This window comes from Homo sapiens, chromosome X (genome assembly GCF_000001405.40).
Source record: "Homo sapiens chromosome X, GRCh38.p14 Primary Assembly".
Taxonomy (NCBI): Eukaryota; Metazoa; Chordata; class Mammalia; order Primates; family Hominidae; genus Homo; species Homo sapiens.
In genome coordinates, this window is record NC_000023.11 from 48,521,180 (window position 1) to 48,538,573 (window position 17,394).

The 17,394-nt window shown below is 48.3% G+C and overlaps 1 protein-coding gene across 1 annotated transcript, besides 3 other annotated features; it reads left to right on the forward strand.

Annotated features, from left to right (window-relative positions):
- Positions 444 to 673: a silencer, noted in NCBI's record as "silent region_20816". NCBI's record gives its function as "represses an Ori minimal core promoter by ATAC-STARR-seq in GM12878 lymphoblastoid cells {active_cell/tissue: GM12878}" and the evidence as "EXISTENCE:reporter gene assay evidence [ECO:0000049][PMID:35858748]".
- Positions 629 to 7,537, forward strand: EBP (EBP cholestenol delta-isomerase). The gene is made up of 5 exons (NM_006579.3): positions 629 to 728; positions 2,520 to 2,893; positions 5,810 to 5,846; positions 5,976 to 6,106; positions 7,055 to 7,537. The coding sequence occupies exons 2-5, from the start codon at positions 2,593 to 2,595 to the stop codon at positions 7,276 to 7,278; spliced, it is 693 nt and encodes a 230-aa protein (NP_006570.1). The 5' UTR covers positions 629 to 728; positions 2,520 to 2,592; the 3' UTR covers positions 7,279 to 7,537.
- Positions 734 to 913: a silencer, noted in NCBI's record as "silent region_20817". NCBI's record gives its function as "represses an Ori minimal core promoter by ATAC-STARR-seq in GM12878 lymphoblastoid cells {active_cell/tissue: GM12878}" and the evidence as "EXISTENCE:reporter gene assay evidence [ECO:0000049][PMID:35858748]".
- Positions 10,433 to 10,802: a transcriptional cis regulatory region, noted in NCBI's record as "candidate enhancer chrX.929 targeted for multiplex CRISPR interference". NCBI's record gives its function as "positively regulates EBP gene expression with high confidence in K562 cells {active_cell/tissue: K562}" and the evidence as "EXISTENCE:mutant phenotype evidence [ECO:0000015][PMID:30612741]".

Genomic DNA, 17,394 nt, shown 5'->3' on the forward strand with positions numbered 1-17,394 from the left:
GATGGGTCTGGATTCTGATTGATTGCTCCATCTGGGGGCCCACTGGTGGTTAGGCGTTTGATTGGCTTTTTAGAACTGGCATATGGAGATTGAGGGTCTTCATGCCAATTGGTCAGTAGGACTGAGAGGCCTGGGTTCTAACTAGTTCTTCTGACTTGAGGTCGGGAGAAGAGAGAATGACCGCTGCTATTAGGACTGAGGAGTTCTGAGCACTGAAGAGCTGGGGAGGGGGTGGTTGCAGTGTATAGCGTGTGATCTGCTTGTAACAGTTTCGTTGCATTATACTAAGGGTTACTCTACCTAGAAAAGGGCGGAGGTGAAAGGATGCAACGCAACGCTAATTTCACCAGCGGAAGAAGCGGGTACAGACCTTAATGAGTCCCCGTTTTGATCGACTGATAAGGGAATGGGGAAATTGAAGCCAGGACTCGATGCAGATTGGCTACGGATCCAAAACGCCCACTAACCTTGGCGCGTCCCAGTCTCCACCCCAAACCTAACTCAGGTGAAAATGGCGCCACGCGCGGGGGCGGGGCTAGAGGTACAAAGAGAGTGTCTATTGGTTGGGAGCGGCACGGGCCGCCTTCTTCGCTTCACCATTGGCTCGCTCCGTAAGGCAAGAGAACCCACTAGGGGATGAGCCCGAACTAGGGATGTGACAGAGCGCGAGACCCAGCCTAAAGAGAGCCCGGAGCCAGCGTGGGAGGCCGCTGCCGTCGCGCGCCTTGGTGAGTGCCCTCCACCCGGCCCCTGCTCCCTCCCCCAGCTCTCCCCGGCTACGCGGCCAGCCCTCGGCGTGCCAGCGCGAGACCCTTTGCCACCCGCCCCCCCCACCGCCCTTTTGCGCCTGCGCGAGACCCCCAGCTACCGCACGGTTGTCCAGAGGACAGAAGATCCGTCTTCTCATTGGGCAGCGGGACTGGAGGGTTCTGGTTCGGATTGACCGGCTTTGTGTTCCGTTCTAGCGCTGCACGCCAGACACCGGCCTTTCAATATCCGTCTCTTCCCTGCAGGTTGACGGCGTTGCACGCTCTCGCGGGGAGGCTCTGGCTTTCCAAACGCTGGCACCGAGGGTTGTAGTTCTGATTCGTTTTCTTTCCTCTGTCCCCCAGTTGCAGTTTTCAGGACTACGTGGGGGAGGGAATAGCTTTTTGTTGAACGGTTTAAGACGCTGACCTGTGCAACTGGACCACGCCTGGTTCCTGTGTCTCTTACCAAACCGTGACCCCGGAGCACAGGACTGGGTTTGGTGGTCGTGAGCAGTTTGTGACCCTTGAAGGAAGACACCAGGCCTGGTCCTGTATCTCCCTCGCCAGACTGTGACCAGGGAGGGCTGGGATCAGGTGTTGTTCCCATGTGCCTCCCACCAGACTTTGACCCCCGAGGGCTGAGACCGGGACTGTTTCTACCACATCATAATATGGCTTCTAAAGGGCTGGAACAAGCTTTCAGCCTTTCTGTGGCCTTGTGTTTCAGTCATGTTCTTTTTCTTTTCTTTTTTATTTTATTTTGAGACAGAGTCTCGCTCTGTTGCCCAGGCTGGAGTGCAGTGGCATGACCCCGGCTCACTGCAGCCTCTGCCTCCCAGGTTCAAGCGATTCTCCTGCCTCAGCCTCCTGAGTAGCTGTAACTACAGGCGCACGCCACCACACCTGGCTAATTTTTGTATTTTTAGTAGAGACGGGGTTTTGCCATGTTGGCCGGGCTGGTCTTGAACTCCTGAGCTCAAGTGGTCCACTCGTCTTGGCCTCCCAAAGTGCTGGGATTACAGGCGTGAGCCACCGCGCCCGGCCTTCTTTTTTAGAGGCAGAGTCTCAGACTGGAGGGCAGTGATGTGGTCACTGCTCACTTCAGCCTTGAAGTCCTGGGCTCAAAGCGATCCTCCTGCCTCAGCCTACCTACTAGCTGGGACTACAGGCCTTTGTCACCACACCTGACTGATTTTCTTATTTTTTTAGAGACAGTTTCGCTGTGTTGCCCAGGCCGGACTTGAATTCCTGGCCTCAGGTGCTGCTCCTGCATCAGCCTCCCAAAGCACTGGAATTACCTGCCACGGTGCCTGGCCTTTAGTCATGGTCTTAAAACAGAATGTAGGCCGGGCGCAGTGGCTCACGCCTGTAATCCCAGCACTTTGGGAGGCTGAGGCGGGCGGATCGTGAGGTCAGGAGATCAAGACCATCCTGGCTAACACGGTGAAACCCCGTCTCTACTAAAAATACAAAAAATTAGCTGGGCGTGGTGGCAGGCACCTGTAGTCCCAGCTACTCGGGAGGCTGAGGCAGGAGAATCGTTTGAACCCGGAAGGCAGAGGTTGCAGTGAGCCGAGGTCGCACCACTCCACTCCAGCCTGGGTGACAGAGCAAGACTCCGTCTGAAAAAAAAAAAAAAAAACGGAATGTAATTAGAAGTGTTACAATCCTGTCTGTTAACTGGTAAATTCGGTCCATTTACATTTCTCATGATAATAAACTATTTGAATTTGATTTTATTATCTCATTCTGTACTTTCTATTTGTCCAGGTTTTTCTGTTCCTTTTTTTTTTTTTTTTTTAACTTCCTGCCTATACACACGCAGCCATCAGCCCACAAAGACATGACTACCAACGCGGGCCCCTTGCACCCATACTGGCCTCAGCACCTAAGACTGGACAACTTTGTACCTAATGACCGCCCCACCTGGCATATACTGGCTGGCCTCTTCTCTGTCACAGGGGTCTTAGTCGTGACCACATGGCTGTTGTCAGGTCGTGCTGCGGTTGTCCCATTGGGGACTTGGCGGCGACTGTCCCTGTGCTGGTTTGCAGTGTGTGGGTTCATTCACCTGGTGATCGAGGGCTGGTTCGTTCTCTACTACGAAGACCTGCTTGGAGACCAAGCCTTCTTATCTCAACTCTGTGAGTCCTGATTTCTTTCATATGCTGTGGGATGGGATTTGCTGGGCAGGGATCGGCTTGCATGTTTACCTATCCACCTATTCTTCTTCCATTGATTTATTTTAAATTTTTATTTAATCTTTTAAAAAATTTATTATAGGCCGGGCACAGTGGCTCACGCTTGTAATCCCAGCACTTTGGGAGGCCGAGGCAGGTGGATCACTTGAGGTCAGGAATTTGAGACCAGCCTGGTCAACATGGCAAAACCCCATCTCTACTAAAAATACAAAAATTAGCCAGGCGCGGTGGCTCAAGCCTGTAATCCCAGCACTTTGGGAGGCCGAGGCAGGCAGATCACGAGGTCGGGAGTTGAAGACCAGCCAGGCCAAGATGATGAAACCCCATCTCTACTAAAAATACAAAAATTAGCCGGGTGTGGTGGCACACGCCTGTAATCCCAGCTACTAGGGAGGCTGAGGCAGGAGAATTGCTTGAACCTGGGAGGCGGAGGTTGCAGTGAGCCAAGACCATGCCATTGCACTCCAGCCTGGGCAACAGAGTGAGACTTTGTCTCAAAAAAAAAATTATTATGTATTGTTATTATTATTCTTTTTGTTTTTTGCCCTTCTCTAAAACTGGTAGATAACTTATTTTTGAGACAAGGTCTTGCTCTGTTGCCCAGGCTGGAGTGCAGTGGTATGATGATTGCTCACTGCAACCTCCAACTCCTGGGTTCAAGCGATCGTCTTGCCTCAGCCTCCCCAGTAGCTGGGACTATACTATAGGTGCACACCTTTATGCCTGGCTAATATTTTCACTTTTTTGTAGAGACAAGGTCTTGCTATGTTGCTCAGGCTGTTCTTTAACTCCTGGGCTCAAGCAATCCTTCCACCTCAGCCTCCCAAAATTCTGGGATGACAGGTGCGCACCACCGTGCCCAGCCTTATTTAACTTTTTTGTTGCATGTATATTCACGTGGGTCAAAAAACCATTTAAAGAGATTTGCAGTGAAAATCTGCTTTCTATCCACTAAGTTTCCCCAAACGCTGTTAGGCACTGTTGATAGTTGTTTATGTTTCTTTTCAGTTTATTTACACACGTAAGTCTCAATTTGCTCAATTGTAAAAGGAGGATAATAGTAATAACCAACTATATGTAAGATACTTAGAACAGTGTTTGGCAAACAGTGGTTGCCATGTAACTGTTCACTATTATTATCATTATTTGCACTTTTCCCTTTTTACACAAATGGTAATATGCTATATATACTTCTAATCTTTTCTCTTTTTCTTTCTTTCCTTACAAGAAAACCAAAGAAGCCATTTTCTTTTTTGAGACGGGGTCTCGCTCTGTCACCCAGGCTAGAGTGCAGTGGCATGATTATAGCTCACTGCAACCTTGAACTCCTGGGCAATCAAGCAATCCTCCTGCCTCAGCCTCCCTAGTAGCTGGGATTATAGGCATGTGCCACCCCACCAAGTTATTTTTTTTTTAACAACTTTTTTTTTTAAGAGATGGCGTCTTGCTTTGTTGCCCAGGCTGTTCTCCAACTCCTGGCTTCAAGTGATCTGCCCACCTCAGCCTCCCAAAGTGCTAGGATTACAAGCATGAGCCACCGCACCCAGCTGCTTTTTTTAATGAGGTCACTCCTCATGATTTCATAAAGAGCTTTCAAAGCATGGACATTGTACAGTTGCTTGACTTGTGTAGTATTGATGGGCATTTTCCCTCAATCTTCTGCCATTATAAACAAGGCCGGGCAGAGTGGCTCATGCCTGTAATCCCAGCACTTTGTGAGGCGAAGGCGGGCAGATCACCTGAGGTCAGGAGTTTGAGACCAGTCTGGCCAACATAGTGAAACCCCGTCTCTACTAAAAGTCTAAAAATTAGCTGGGCGTGGTGGCAGGTGCCTGTAATCCCAGCTACTCAGGAGGCTGAGGCAGGAGAATCTCTGGGACCTGGGAGGCGGAGGTTGTGGTGAGCTGAGATTGCGCCACTGCACACTCCAGCCTGAGCGATAAGAGCAAGGCTCCGTCTCAAAAAAAAAAAAAAAAAAAAAAAACATTACAGGCATGAGCCATTGTGCCCGGCTGGTCAGATGTTTCTTAAATTTTAGTCATTCCAGTAGATGTGAGTGATATCTCATTATGGTTTTAATTTGCTTTTCCTTAGTGACTAATGGAAGTTTGAACATCTTTCATATACTTATTGGCCATTTAGAAATCCTCTTTGTGAAGAACCTATTCAAGTCTTCTGCCTATTTTATATTGGATGATCTTTTTCTTTCTTTCTTTTTTTTTTTTTTTTTTGAGACAGGGTCTTACCCTGTTGTCCAGGCTGAGCACTGTGGTGCTATCATAGCTCACTGCAGCCTCAACCTCCTGGGCTCAAGACATCCTCCCACTGCAGCCTGGGACTGTAGGCACGTGCCACCACGTCCAGCTAATTTTTGTATGTTTTATAGAGTTGGGGGTCTCACTATATTGTTCAGACTGGTCTTGAACTCCTTTATGCAAGCCATCATCCCACCTCAGCCTCCCAAAGTGTTGGGATTACAGGCATGAGCCATCGTGCCCGGCGGTCTTTTTCTTTCTGATTCTCTGCTCACTCTTGTATTCACTCATCTGTTCACCTACATTCTCTCTCTCTCATTGGCTACTTCACTCACTCCATCATCTACACCTGCTTCCTTTTATACCACACACACTTCTTGAGTACCAATCACAGCCACACTGTTTTGTGTCAGGCTTTACACATATTACCTTGTTTTAGAGAAATAAACCACTAGAATCCAAACAGTTACCCCATTTCACGGATGAGGAAGCAGACGCATGGGAAGGTTATGAAGTCTGTCTTCTTGCAGGGACCCCCAGCTCTCACAAGTGTGTGTTCCTTTCACTGCCTTTATTCTTCATATCTCTCTCTTCTTTTCTTCAGGGAAAGAGTATGCCAAGGGAGACAGCCGATACATCCTGTAAGTGTTTGCCTCTGTCAATGGAGACTGGCATTGGTTTTCGGGGGGTGGTGAGTTGGGGAGCACTAATGGGCTAACCTGTAGGAAGAGCACACCGATACCAGTGTCCCCTCATGCTTTCTCCTGCAGGGGTGACAACTTCACAGTGTGCATGGAAACCATCACAGCTTGCCTGTGGGGACCACTCAGCCTGTGGGTGGTGATCGCCTTTCTCCGCCAGCATCCCCTCCGCTTCATTCTACAGCTTGTGGTCTCTGTGGGTAAGGAAAGGGCACTAGAGGGGCACTGGGCACTAGAGGGGTTGATGGGGGATCCACAGACACAGATGTATCCCTGTGGGTGGGATCTCTCAACGGTGCCCTTCCAGGGGTAAGTCAGACTGAATGACAAACCCCCTGAGGCTCTGGAAAGGTCATGCCCTTCTCTGAGCCTGCACTCTCAGGTGGGGAGGGTTCATTTTTCTTCCTCCTCCTCCTTCTCCATCACAAAGTCTCCTGTGAAGGTTACATGAGGTGGCCCAGGGTGGCAAGAAGCCCCTGGAACCTCCAGGATCAGGGCTCTGAGATCCCTTCATGTAAGATTCTGTCATATTTTTTTTAAAACAGGGTCTGGCTCTGTCACCCAGGCCAGAGTGCTATGGTGTGATCTCGGCTCACTGCAACCTCCACCTCCCAGACTCAAGCGATCTTCCTGCCTCAGTCTCCTGAGTAGCTGGGACTACAGGCATGTGCCACCGTGCCTGGCTAACTTTTGTATTTTTAGTAGAGATGGGGTTTCGCCATGTTGCCCAGGCTGGTCTCAAGCTCCTGAGCTCAAACAGTCCTCCTGGCTTGGCCTCCCGAAGTACTGGGATTACAGGTGTGAGCCACTGTGCCCGGCCTCAGTCATCTTGTGTTATTAAATTGTTAGCTTTCTTTAGTTCTAGCGATATGAGTTATCTTTAGTCCCAGAATCCTAAGCTGTCTTGGATTTGAGGATTTTGAACTTCCTTAAATCTGAAGGTGTGAGCTCTCCTGAGTTCTGAAATTCTCAGCTCTCTGGTGTCTGGAATCTCACTTTTCTGATTTCTCAGATTTTCAGCTCTGTGATTTCAGAATACTTAGCTCTGAGACCTTGAATGATGACTTGGAAAGTGCTTTGGAATAGAGAATTGGCGAAAGTGTCCCCTTCCTCACTGGGGCTTCTCCTTCCCCTCCTGCCACCCACAGGCCAGATCTATGGGGATGTGCTCTACTTCCTGACAGAGCACCGCGACGGATTCCAGCACGGAGAGCTGGGCCACCCTCTCTACTTCTGGTTTTACTTTGTCTTCATGAATGCCCTGTGGCTGGTGCTGCCTGGAGTCCTTGTGCTTGATGCTGTGAAGCACCTCACTCATGCCCAGAGCACGCTGGATGCCAAGGCCACAAAAGCCAAGAGCAAGAAGAACTGAGGAGTGGTGGACCAGGCTCGAACACTGGCCGAGGAGGAGCTCTCTGCCTGCCAGAAGAGTCTAGTCCTGCTCCCACAGTTTGGAGGGACAAAGCTAATTGATCTGTCACACTCAGGCTCATGGGCAGGCACAAGAAGGGGAATAAAGGGGCTGTGTGAAGGCACTGCTGGGAGCCATTAGAACACAGATACAAGAGAAGCCAGGAGGTCTATGATGGTGACGATTTTTAAAATCAGGAAATAAAAGATCTTGACTCTAACACTGAGAGATCCTTAATTACTAACCCCAGAGATGCGCTATGACTGACCCCACAGATCCCACCATCATTCACTTATTCCAGACCCCCATCAGCATCTAAAGACCTCCCACCTCTGACCTCACAAACCCCTATCACTGACCCCCCGCCAGACCCCATAACTCACTACACAGACCCTATCACTGGCCCCACAGTCCCCTGGTCTTAACTCGAGCTGCCATAACAGAATGCCACAGACTAGGCTTAAACCACCGAAGTTCATTTTCTCACAGTTCTGGAGTCCAAGATCAAGGTGTCAGCAGGTTTGACTTCTCCTGAGGCCCCTGTCCGTAGCTTGCAGGTGGCCACCTTCTCAGTGTCCTCACATGGTCTCTATGAACTAGCGTCCCTGTCCCTGGTGTCTCTCTGTGTGTCCAAATTTCCTTTTTTTTTTTTTTTTTTTGAGACAGGGCCTCGCTCTGTGTCAGGCTGGAGTGCAGTGGTATGATCATGGTTCACTGCAGCCTCTACCTCCCTGGCTCCAGCGATCCTCCTGCCTCAGCCTCCTAAGTAGCTGGGACTACAGGTGTGCACTACCACACATGGCTATATTTATTTTTTTTTATAGCAATGGACTCTCACTATGTTGCCCAGGCTGGTCTCAAACACCTGGGCTCAAGTGATCCTCCCACCTCAACCTTCCAAGTAACTGGGACAACAGGCACATGCCATTATACCTAATTTTTGTTTTGTTTTTTTTTTTTGAGACGGAGTTTCACTCTTGTTGCCCAGGCTGGAGTGCAATGGCACGATCTTGGCTCACCACAACCTCTGCCTCCTGGGTTAAAGCAATTCTCCTGCCTCAGCCTCCCGGGTAGGTGGGATCACAGGCATGTGCCACCATGCTCAGCTAATTTTGTATTTTTAGTAGAGACGGGGTTTCTCCATGTTGGTCAAGCTGGTCGCGAACTCCCGACCTCAGGTGATCTACCCGCCTCTGCCTCCCAAAGTGCCAGGATTACAGGTGTGAACCACCATGTCCGGCAATATTTTTTCAATTTTTTGTAGAGATGGGGTCTCACTATGTTGCCCAAGCTGATCTCAAACTCCTAGGCTCAAGTGGTCCTCCCACCTCAGCCTCCCAAGTAGCTGAGACTACAGGTGTGAACTACCATGCCTAGCCCAAATTTCCTTTTATGAGGACACCATTTGACCAGCCTGGGCAACATGGTGAAACCCCATCTCTACAAAAAAAATTTTGAAAATTAGCTGGGCATCATGAGGCCACGGTGGGAGGATCATCTGAGCTAGGGAGGTGTAGGCTGCAGTGAGCCATGATCACGGTGAGAGCCTGTCTTAAAAAAAAAAAGGAGGTGGGGGGTGGGCACCAGTCAGGCACAGTGGCTCATGCCTATAATCCCAGGCTGACACAAGTGGATCACCTGAGGTCAGGAGTTTGAGACCAGCCTGGCCAACATGGTAAAACTCCATCTCTACTAAAAATACAAAAATTAGCCATGCATGGTGGCACATGCCTGTAATCCCAGCTACTTGGGAGGCTGAGGCAGGAGAATCACTTGAACCTGGGAAGTTGAGGTGGCAGTGAGCCAACATCATGGCACTACTGCACTCCAGTCTGGGCAACAGAGTGAGACTCTGTCCCAAAAAAAAAAGTGGGGGGCACCATTTGTATTGGATTAGGCCCACTCTATGAGTCCCATTTTAACTTAACCACCCTTTTAAAGTCCCTATCTCCAAATATAGTCACATTCTGTGGTATTGGGGGTTAGGGCTTTAACATATGAATTTGGGGAGGACACAGTTCAGTCTATAACATTCTGCTCTCTCTGGCCTCCCAGAATTCATGTCCTTGCATGCAAAATACCTTCACCCCCATCCCAGCAGCCCAAAACTCTCTTTTGTTTTTTTGGAGACAGGGTCTTGCTCTGTGGCCCAGGCTGGAGTGCAACGGCACGATCTCAGGTCACTGCAACCACAGGGTTTCACTATGTTGGCCTGGCTGGTCTTGAACTCCTGGCCTCAGATGATCCACCCACCTCAGCCTCCCAAAGTGTTGGGATTATAGGCATAATTCACTGTGCCATAAGCCACTCTGAAAGCTCTTAATCAAGTCTAGCATTAACTTTCAGTCCCAAGTCTTACCTAAATATCATCCAAATCAAGTGTAAATGAGACTGGAGGTATGATTCATCCTGATGCAAAAATTCTTCTCTAGCTGTGAACCCGTGAAACCAGATAAATCATCTGCTTCCAAAATTCAGTGGTAGGACAAGCATAAGCTAGATAGATATTTCCATTCCAAAAAGGAGAAATCACAAAGAAGAAAGGGATCACAGTCCAGGCGTGGTGACTCACGCATGTAATCCCAGCATTTTGGGAGGCTGAGATGGGAGGGTCACTTGAGCCCAGGTATTTGAGACCACCCTGGGCTACATGGTGAAACCCCGCCTCTACAAAAAACTAAAAAATTAGCCAGGTATGGTGGTACATGCCTATAGTCCCAGCTCCTCAGGAGGCTGAGGTGGGAGGATTGATTAAGCCCAGGAGGTCGAGGCTGCAGTGAGCCCTCTTCTCACCAGTGCACCCCAGACTGGGCGACAGAGCAAGACCCTGTCTCAGGAGAAAAAACAGGGATCACAGGTTCCGAATAAGTTTGAAACCAAATAGGGCAAATTCTATTAGATTTTTAAGGCTTGAGAATAATCCTGTTTGGCTCTATGTTCTGTCCTCTGGGCCCACCAGATTGGGGGCCCCACTTTCCTGGTTCACTGGAGAGGCGGTGTCTCTCCCTGAGCCCTGGGTGGCAGCCTGGCCCACTGAAACAGAGGAGGCCTCTTTGCCCTCTGGAACTGAGGAGGAGACAGCCCCACCTTTGGGATCATTCTCCCTTTTTCTTGAAGTATAATGCATGTTCACAGCCAGAAAGCTCTGTTGTCGTGTCCTGTTGAATCCCAGAAGTCCTACAGTCTTCTTTCATTTTGTCCCATCTCTGTCCTCTTTAGTCCCAGCTGGCCGTGTTTCTGCTGGTATTACCCATCTGTATTCCTGGCTTCTGCCAAGATGGCTGATTAGGTCAGTGAGTCACACCCATGATCTCTTTGTGGCATGATTGTTTAGCCACACCCTTTGTCTTCTCACCAGAACACATTCTCAGCTTTTGCAGTGTTGGATAGGCTGAGAACTTTTTTATCTTCACATTCGAGTTCCCTTCTGCCTGACAATTTCTTTTGCAATTTCTCTCTTTCCTCTTGCATTCTACTAGAAGCAGCAAGGAGAAAAAGGCCACATAATATGCTGCTTAGAAATCTCCTTAGCTAAATCTCCCAAGTTCGCCTCTCACAAGTTCTACCTTCCACAAAACACTAGAATACAATTAACCAAGTTCTTTGCCTTCCCTCCATTTTCCAATAACATATTCCTCATTTCCTTCTGAGGCCTCACCAGAAGCACTTTCAACATCCATATTTCTACCAGTAGCCTTCAAGATAATTGTCTTAGTCATTTGGACTGCTCTGACAAAATACTATAAACTGGGTAGCTTATAGGCAACTGAAATTTATTTCTCACAGTTCTGGGGTCTGGGAAGTCCAAAATCAAGGTGTTGGCAAATTCAGTGTCTAGTGAGGGCCTGCTTCCTCACAGATGGCTCCTTCCCTCTGTACCCTTATATGGTGGGAGGGTAGAACTCCGGTCCCTTCATCCCTTATAAGGGAATGACCTAATCACCTCCCAAAGGCCCCACCTCCTAATATCATTACACTGGGGATTAGGTTTCAACATAGGAATTGGAGGTTGGGGGGACACAAATATTAAGATCATAGCAGCAACATAGGCTTTTTCTAACATGCACCTCAAAACTCTTTCAGCCTCTACCCATTACCCAGTTCCAAAGCTACTTCCATGTTTTAGGTATTTATTATGGCAGCACCCCACTTCCCAGGACCAAAATCTGTGTCAGTTTTCTAAAACTGCCATAACAAAATGCCACATACCTGGTGGCTTAAACAACAGAAATTTATTTCCTCAGAGTTCTGGAGGCGGAAAATCCAAGTTCAAGGTGTCAACCAGTTTAGTGTCCCCTGAGGCTTGTAGATGGTCACCTTCTCGCCATGTCCTCACACAGTCTTCCCTCTGCCTGCGCATGTCGGTGTCCTAATCTCTTCTTATAGGGACACCAGCCAGAGTGGATTGGGACCCGCCTTCACCAACTTCATTTTAACTTAATCACCTCTTGAAAGGCCCTATTTTCAAATACAGTCACATTCTGAAGTATTGGGGGTTAGGGCTTCAGCATGAATTTTGGGGAGATACCATTCAGTCAGTAATACCGCTCTGTGCTCACCCCACTCACTCCCTAATACTTAGCCTCACAGATCTTCCATCATTCACCCCACAAACCCCCATCACATGCCCTGATTACTCAGCCCACAGATTCCCCTGCATTGCTGCCACATGGACCCCCCCAACACCCACCCTATAGACTTCCCATCACAAACCCTAAAGATCCCCCATCACTCACCCCACAGGCCCTATCGTGAACCCTACATATTCACGTCATTCACCTCACAGAGCCACATTACTCATCCAACAGACTCCACCCCTGGATCATTCAGCTTATTGGCCCCTAATCACTTCACTCACTCTACAGACTCACTCATCACTGACTCTACAGAGCTCTAATCACTCATCCCATTGACACCCCATTACTAACCCCACAGGTGCCTCCCACTCATCTCACAGGCCCTCCATCTCTCACACCACAAAGCCCTCTCACCTTATGAGCTAGCACATCAGCACCCCTACAGACCCCCAGTCATTCCCCCACCCCACAGATGCCCCCGTCACCCCATAGATCCTCATCAGCCATCTACAGATCCCCCATTCCTCAAAGTCCTCCTTCACTCCCCCTACAGACTTGCCCCACAGCCCCCATCATTAATCCCACAGAATCCTGCCACTCGCCACTCAATACCCCATTCACTCCACAGGCTCCTCATGACCCTACAGACCCCGTCACTACCCCACAGATCCCTATTACTCAGTTTATTATCCCCTGATCATACCTTCCAGAGAGGCCCCATCGCTAACCCCACAGACCCTAATCCTCCCCTGTGTTAGTCGGCTCTGGCTTCCGTAACAAAATGCCACAGACCAGGTGGCTTAAACAACAAACAGTTTCTCACACTTCGGGAGGTTGGACAGTCCAAGTGCAAGGTGCCATCAGGGTTGGTGTCTGGTGGGGTTTCTCTCCTTGGCTTGCAGATGGCTACCTTCTTGCTGTGTCCTCACGTGGCCCTTTCTCTGTGCACTCATGCCCAGTGTCCCTCTTCTTATAAGGATACCAGTTCTACTGAATTAGGGCCCCACCCTTATAATCTCATTTAACCTTAATTACCTCCTTAAAGGCTCTATTTCAGATATAGTGACATTATGTTGAAATATTGGGGGCTGGTTCCCCTGATATTAGGGCTTCAACATATGAATTTGGGGAGGAGGACATCATTCAGTTCATGACACTCCCCATCACTCACCCCACAGATGCCACAGCTCTCACCTCACAGAGCCCCCAACACTCCTACCACATATATTCCATCACTCAGCCTCTTGGCTTCTGATAAGCCACCCCACAGATCCCCCATCACTCTTCCCACATACCCCATCAACTCCTAAGATACCCATCACTCTCCCTACCAACACACATTCATTCGTTTCACAGATTGCCCATTATTGACCCCACAGAAACCCCGTAACTCACCACACAGACCTCAACCCCATCACTCACCCCCACAGGCCCCTATCACCCCCAAAATCTTCACTCTGAAGATCCCATAACTCACCCCAGAAGCCCCTCATCAGTCACCCTAACAACCCCTATCACTGACACCACAGACCCACCACTCATCCTACAGATGCCCCTTTACTAACCCTATAAGCATCCCATAACTCACCTTGCAGAAGCCATCACTCAACCCACAGAGTCCATCTCTCATCCCACAGACCCCTTATCACTCACACCACCATCCCATCTCTCAACTCACGGTCCTCCACAATCCACCATATACACCCCATCACTCACCCACAGATGCCATCATTCACCCCTCAGACCCCCATGACTTACCTCATAGTGCACCTATCATGTACCCACAGACTCCCATCCACCCCAGGGATCCTCCGTCACTCTCCACAGACCTGCTATTATTCACCCAACAGACACCCCTCACTTACTCTACAGACCCCCATCACTCATCCTGCCGTCTATCATTACCTTATAGACCCTCCATCATAAAACAACTGGGTACTTGAGAAGTTTTGAAGAGATGGAAAAGAATAAATAATAAAACCACAGATACCTGTAGACTGGCTTCAAGTGACCTCTGTAAGGCCGGGCACAGTGGCTCACTCCTGTAATCCCAACACTTTGGGAGGCTGAGGCGGGCAGATCACCTGAGGGTTGGGAGTTCAAGACCAGCCTGGCCAACATGGTGAAACCCCTTCTGCACTAAAAATACAAAAAAATTAGCCAGGTGTGGTGCCAGGCACCTGTAATCCCAGCTACTTGGGAGGCTGGGGCAGGAGAATCACTTGAACCCGGGAGGCAGAGGTTGCAGTGAGCTGAGACTGCACCATTGCACTCAAGCCTGGGCAACAAGAACAAAACTCCGTCTCAAAAAAAGAAATATCAAGTGACCTGTGGACTTCAGTTCAAATCCTGGCTCTGCTTAGGCCTACAGTATATAGCTTTGGAGAAATGCCTCACTGTTAAGGTCAAAGCCCTGCATGATCTCACTCTATTCTCACCTCGTCTGCTGTCACTCACCTATCATTCACTCTACTTAAAGGCATGCTGACTTCCTTGCTTTTCCTCAAACACAACAGGCATAGCCCCAAGTTCCATCCATTGCACTGCCTACTCTCTGTGACACTACCCCCTTTGACCTTGAGCTTGTTTCTCCCTGGCTTTCAGTACTCTAATCTGTAGAATGCTTAGAGTAATAACACCTACCTGCTATGGTTCGAATGTTTCTCCCCTCCAAAACTCATGTTGAAACTAAATCTCTTTTTTAACAGAATTAAGGAGGTGGGAAATCTGACTACGGTATTTGAGAGATGGGACCTTGAGCGGTAATTAGGATTAGATTAGATGAGGTCATAAGGGTGGGGCATTAGTGGTTTTCTAAGAGGAGAAACAGATCTGAGCTAGCAAGGTCAGCACCCTTACCATGTGATGCCCTGCTCTGCCTCGCCACTCCACAGAGAGGCCCCACCAGCAGAAGGCCCTCACCAGATGTGACTCCTTGACCATGGACTTCCCAGCCTCCAGAACTGTAAGAAATAAATTTCTTTTCTTTCTTTTTTTTTTTTGGTGGGGGGGGGGTGTTGTTGTTGTTGTTGTTTTTAGAGACAGGGTCTCACTCTGTCACCCAGACTAGAGTGTAGTGGCATGATCACAGCTCACTGCAGCCTCAAACTTCTGAGCATAAGCAATCCTCCTGCCTCAGCCTCCTAAGTAGCTAGTACTACAGGCATACTGCCATGCTCAGCTAATTTTTAAATTTTTTTGTAGAGACAGGGTCTTGCTATGTTGCTGAGGCTGTTTTGAACTGGCCTCAAAGCAATCCTCCCACCTCAGCCTCTCAAATTTCTTTATAAATTACCCAGTCTTGGGTATTTGATTATAGCAACAGAAAAATGGACTAAGATACTACCTCATAGGGTTTTTATGCAGATTATAAGAATTAATTTATGTAGACTGCCTAGCATATACTTTATATTTGTTGAATGGAAGAATGAATAAACAAAAAAGAAAGTTCTCCCCAGGACTATGGCAAGGACCTCCTTTTTGATCTCCTTGCTTCCAGTATCTTTCCATCCAAAGCTCTCCCCAGGACCAAGACAGAGGCATCTGACCACATCATACCCCTGTCTAAACCTTTGCCCCAGTGTCCTTAGGATCGATTCCAAACTCCAGGCTAATGGTTTGCACATCCCACCCTATGATAAATGAAAAGCAGGCTCTTACTCCTTGTTTCCATCAGAAAATCCAGCAGTGCTATAAGTGATTTTGACTCTAAACACATGGGGCAAGAGAGACATGCCAATAATCCTTTTCTGGCTTTCAGAGAAAATCCCCATTATTTATACCTTCTAAAAATAGAGATATCTATTTAATGTTAATACCAAGGCAACATGTTGTCTTAAAAGACACCAAAATAGAATTGCAGACTTACCTAAAAAGTTAACCTTGAGGGTTGCGTCCATATGACACGGACACAATAGTTGGAGTGCTAGTATCTTACAAGACTCCTTTGTTGGAAATAACATTTGTTTTTGTTTTTTGTTTACTTTTTTTTTTTGAGACGGAGTCTCGCTCTGTTGCCCAGGTTGGAGTGCAGGCTGGAGTGCAGTGGCGGCTCACTGCAAGCTCCGCCTCCCAGGTTCACACCATTCTCCTGCCTCAGCCTCCCGAGTAGCTGGGACTACAGGCGCCCGCCACCACGCCTGGCTAATTATTTTGTATTTTTGGTAGAGACGGGGTTTCACCGTGTTAGCCAGGATGGTCTCCATCTCCTGACCTCGTAATCCGCCCGCCTCGGCCTCCTAAAGTGCTGGGATTACAGGCGTGAGCCACTGTGCCCGGCCAGAAATAACATTTGTAAGTGCAGCCTGTATTTTGTCCAAACCGCACGGATGTTGTGCAATTAAGTGGGAAGACTGCCTTTTTGCATTTTGCCACATATAAAGTTTCTCAGAAGAGTCTAAGATATATTCAATAATTCAGCCAATATCTAGTAGACATACACCATTTAAGAACAGGACCAACCTTAACATGTTATGAAGATTAGGTAAGACAAAAGCAAAGTTTTGTGGGCTTTTTTTTTTTTTTAATCAGGTTCTCACTCTGTCACCCAGGCTGGAGTGTAGTGGCGTGATCACAACTCCATTGCAGCCTGGACCTCCCAGGCTCAAGTAATCCTCCCACCTCAGCCTCCCGAATAGCTAGGAGCACAGGTGCGCACCATCAGACCCAGCTAATTTTTTTTTTTTAATTTTGTAGGGACAGGGTCTTCCTATGTTGCCCAGGCTGGTCTCAAACTCCCCGGCTCAAGCGATCTTCCCACTTCGGCCTCCCAAAGTGCTGGGATTACAAGTGTGAGCCACTGTGCCTGACTCAGTTTATTTTTTAAAATTTTTCTTCATTTATTCTTGGCTTCTTCCATTCATTGTTTTGATCACTAACTATGTGCTCAGCACATTGCTGAGCCTTTTGCATGCTCTGCTGGGCATTCCCCATTTGCTCTTCCGGATCCATTATCCACCCTGCTCTGGGACCCCAAAAAGCTGATCTTTTATAGATGGTATCATTTGGGCCCCATTGATTGGTTCGTAGTTGAGCCTGGCCACTTCTCTTTCAACTGGTCCCTGGCAGTCAGTACCAACATTTTAGTCAGGTTTCAAAGAAATCTCTAGACCAAGCTGGACAGAGGGCTTTTCCAGTGATTCAGTGATTCCCCAAGATCTGAGAATGTGAAACTTGGAAAAGGGACACAAAGACCGGGGATCCTTTGAGCTGGTTCAATAATGGCAGAGCTTTAGAGATATGCTGCTGAGCTCCCTGGGTCTGTCTCGCTTTCTGCCTTCTGAAGGCTTGATTGTTAACTTCTTCCTGGGTTTCAATTAGAAGCATTAGTGTCCTTCCTGGAGTTGAATTACCTGGAAATTTGCCTCCTAGATGTGTAAACTTGGGAAAGTATGATCTCGTCAAGTTTCAGACAAAGGCAAACTAAAAAGCTAGAACTCCAGAGAGCATAATAGTGTTTTTTGGGGGCAAATTATTTAATGAAGTATAACATTCATACAGG

Bases quoted from the DNA above. Each gene is read 5' to 3' on its own strand.
- EBP (NM_006579.3), top strand. From the start codon at position 2,593: ATGACTACCAACGCGGGCCCCTTGCACCCATACTGGCCTCAGCACCTA. The intron at 2,894-5,809 runs GTGAGTCCTGAT...TCTTTTCTTCAG, and splicing joins AGCCTTCTTATCTCAACTCT to GGAAAGAGTATGCCAAGGGA. The intron at 5,847-5,975 runs GTAAGTGTTTGC...TTTCTCCTGCAG, and splicing joins GGAGACAGCCGATACATCCT to GGGTGACAACTTCACAGTGT.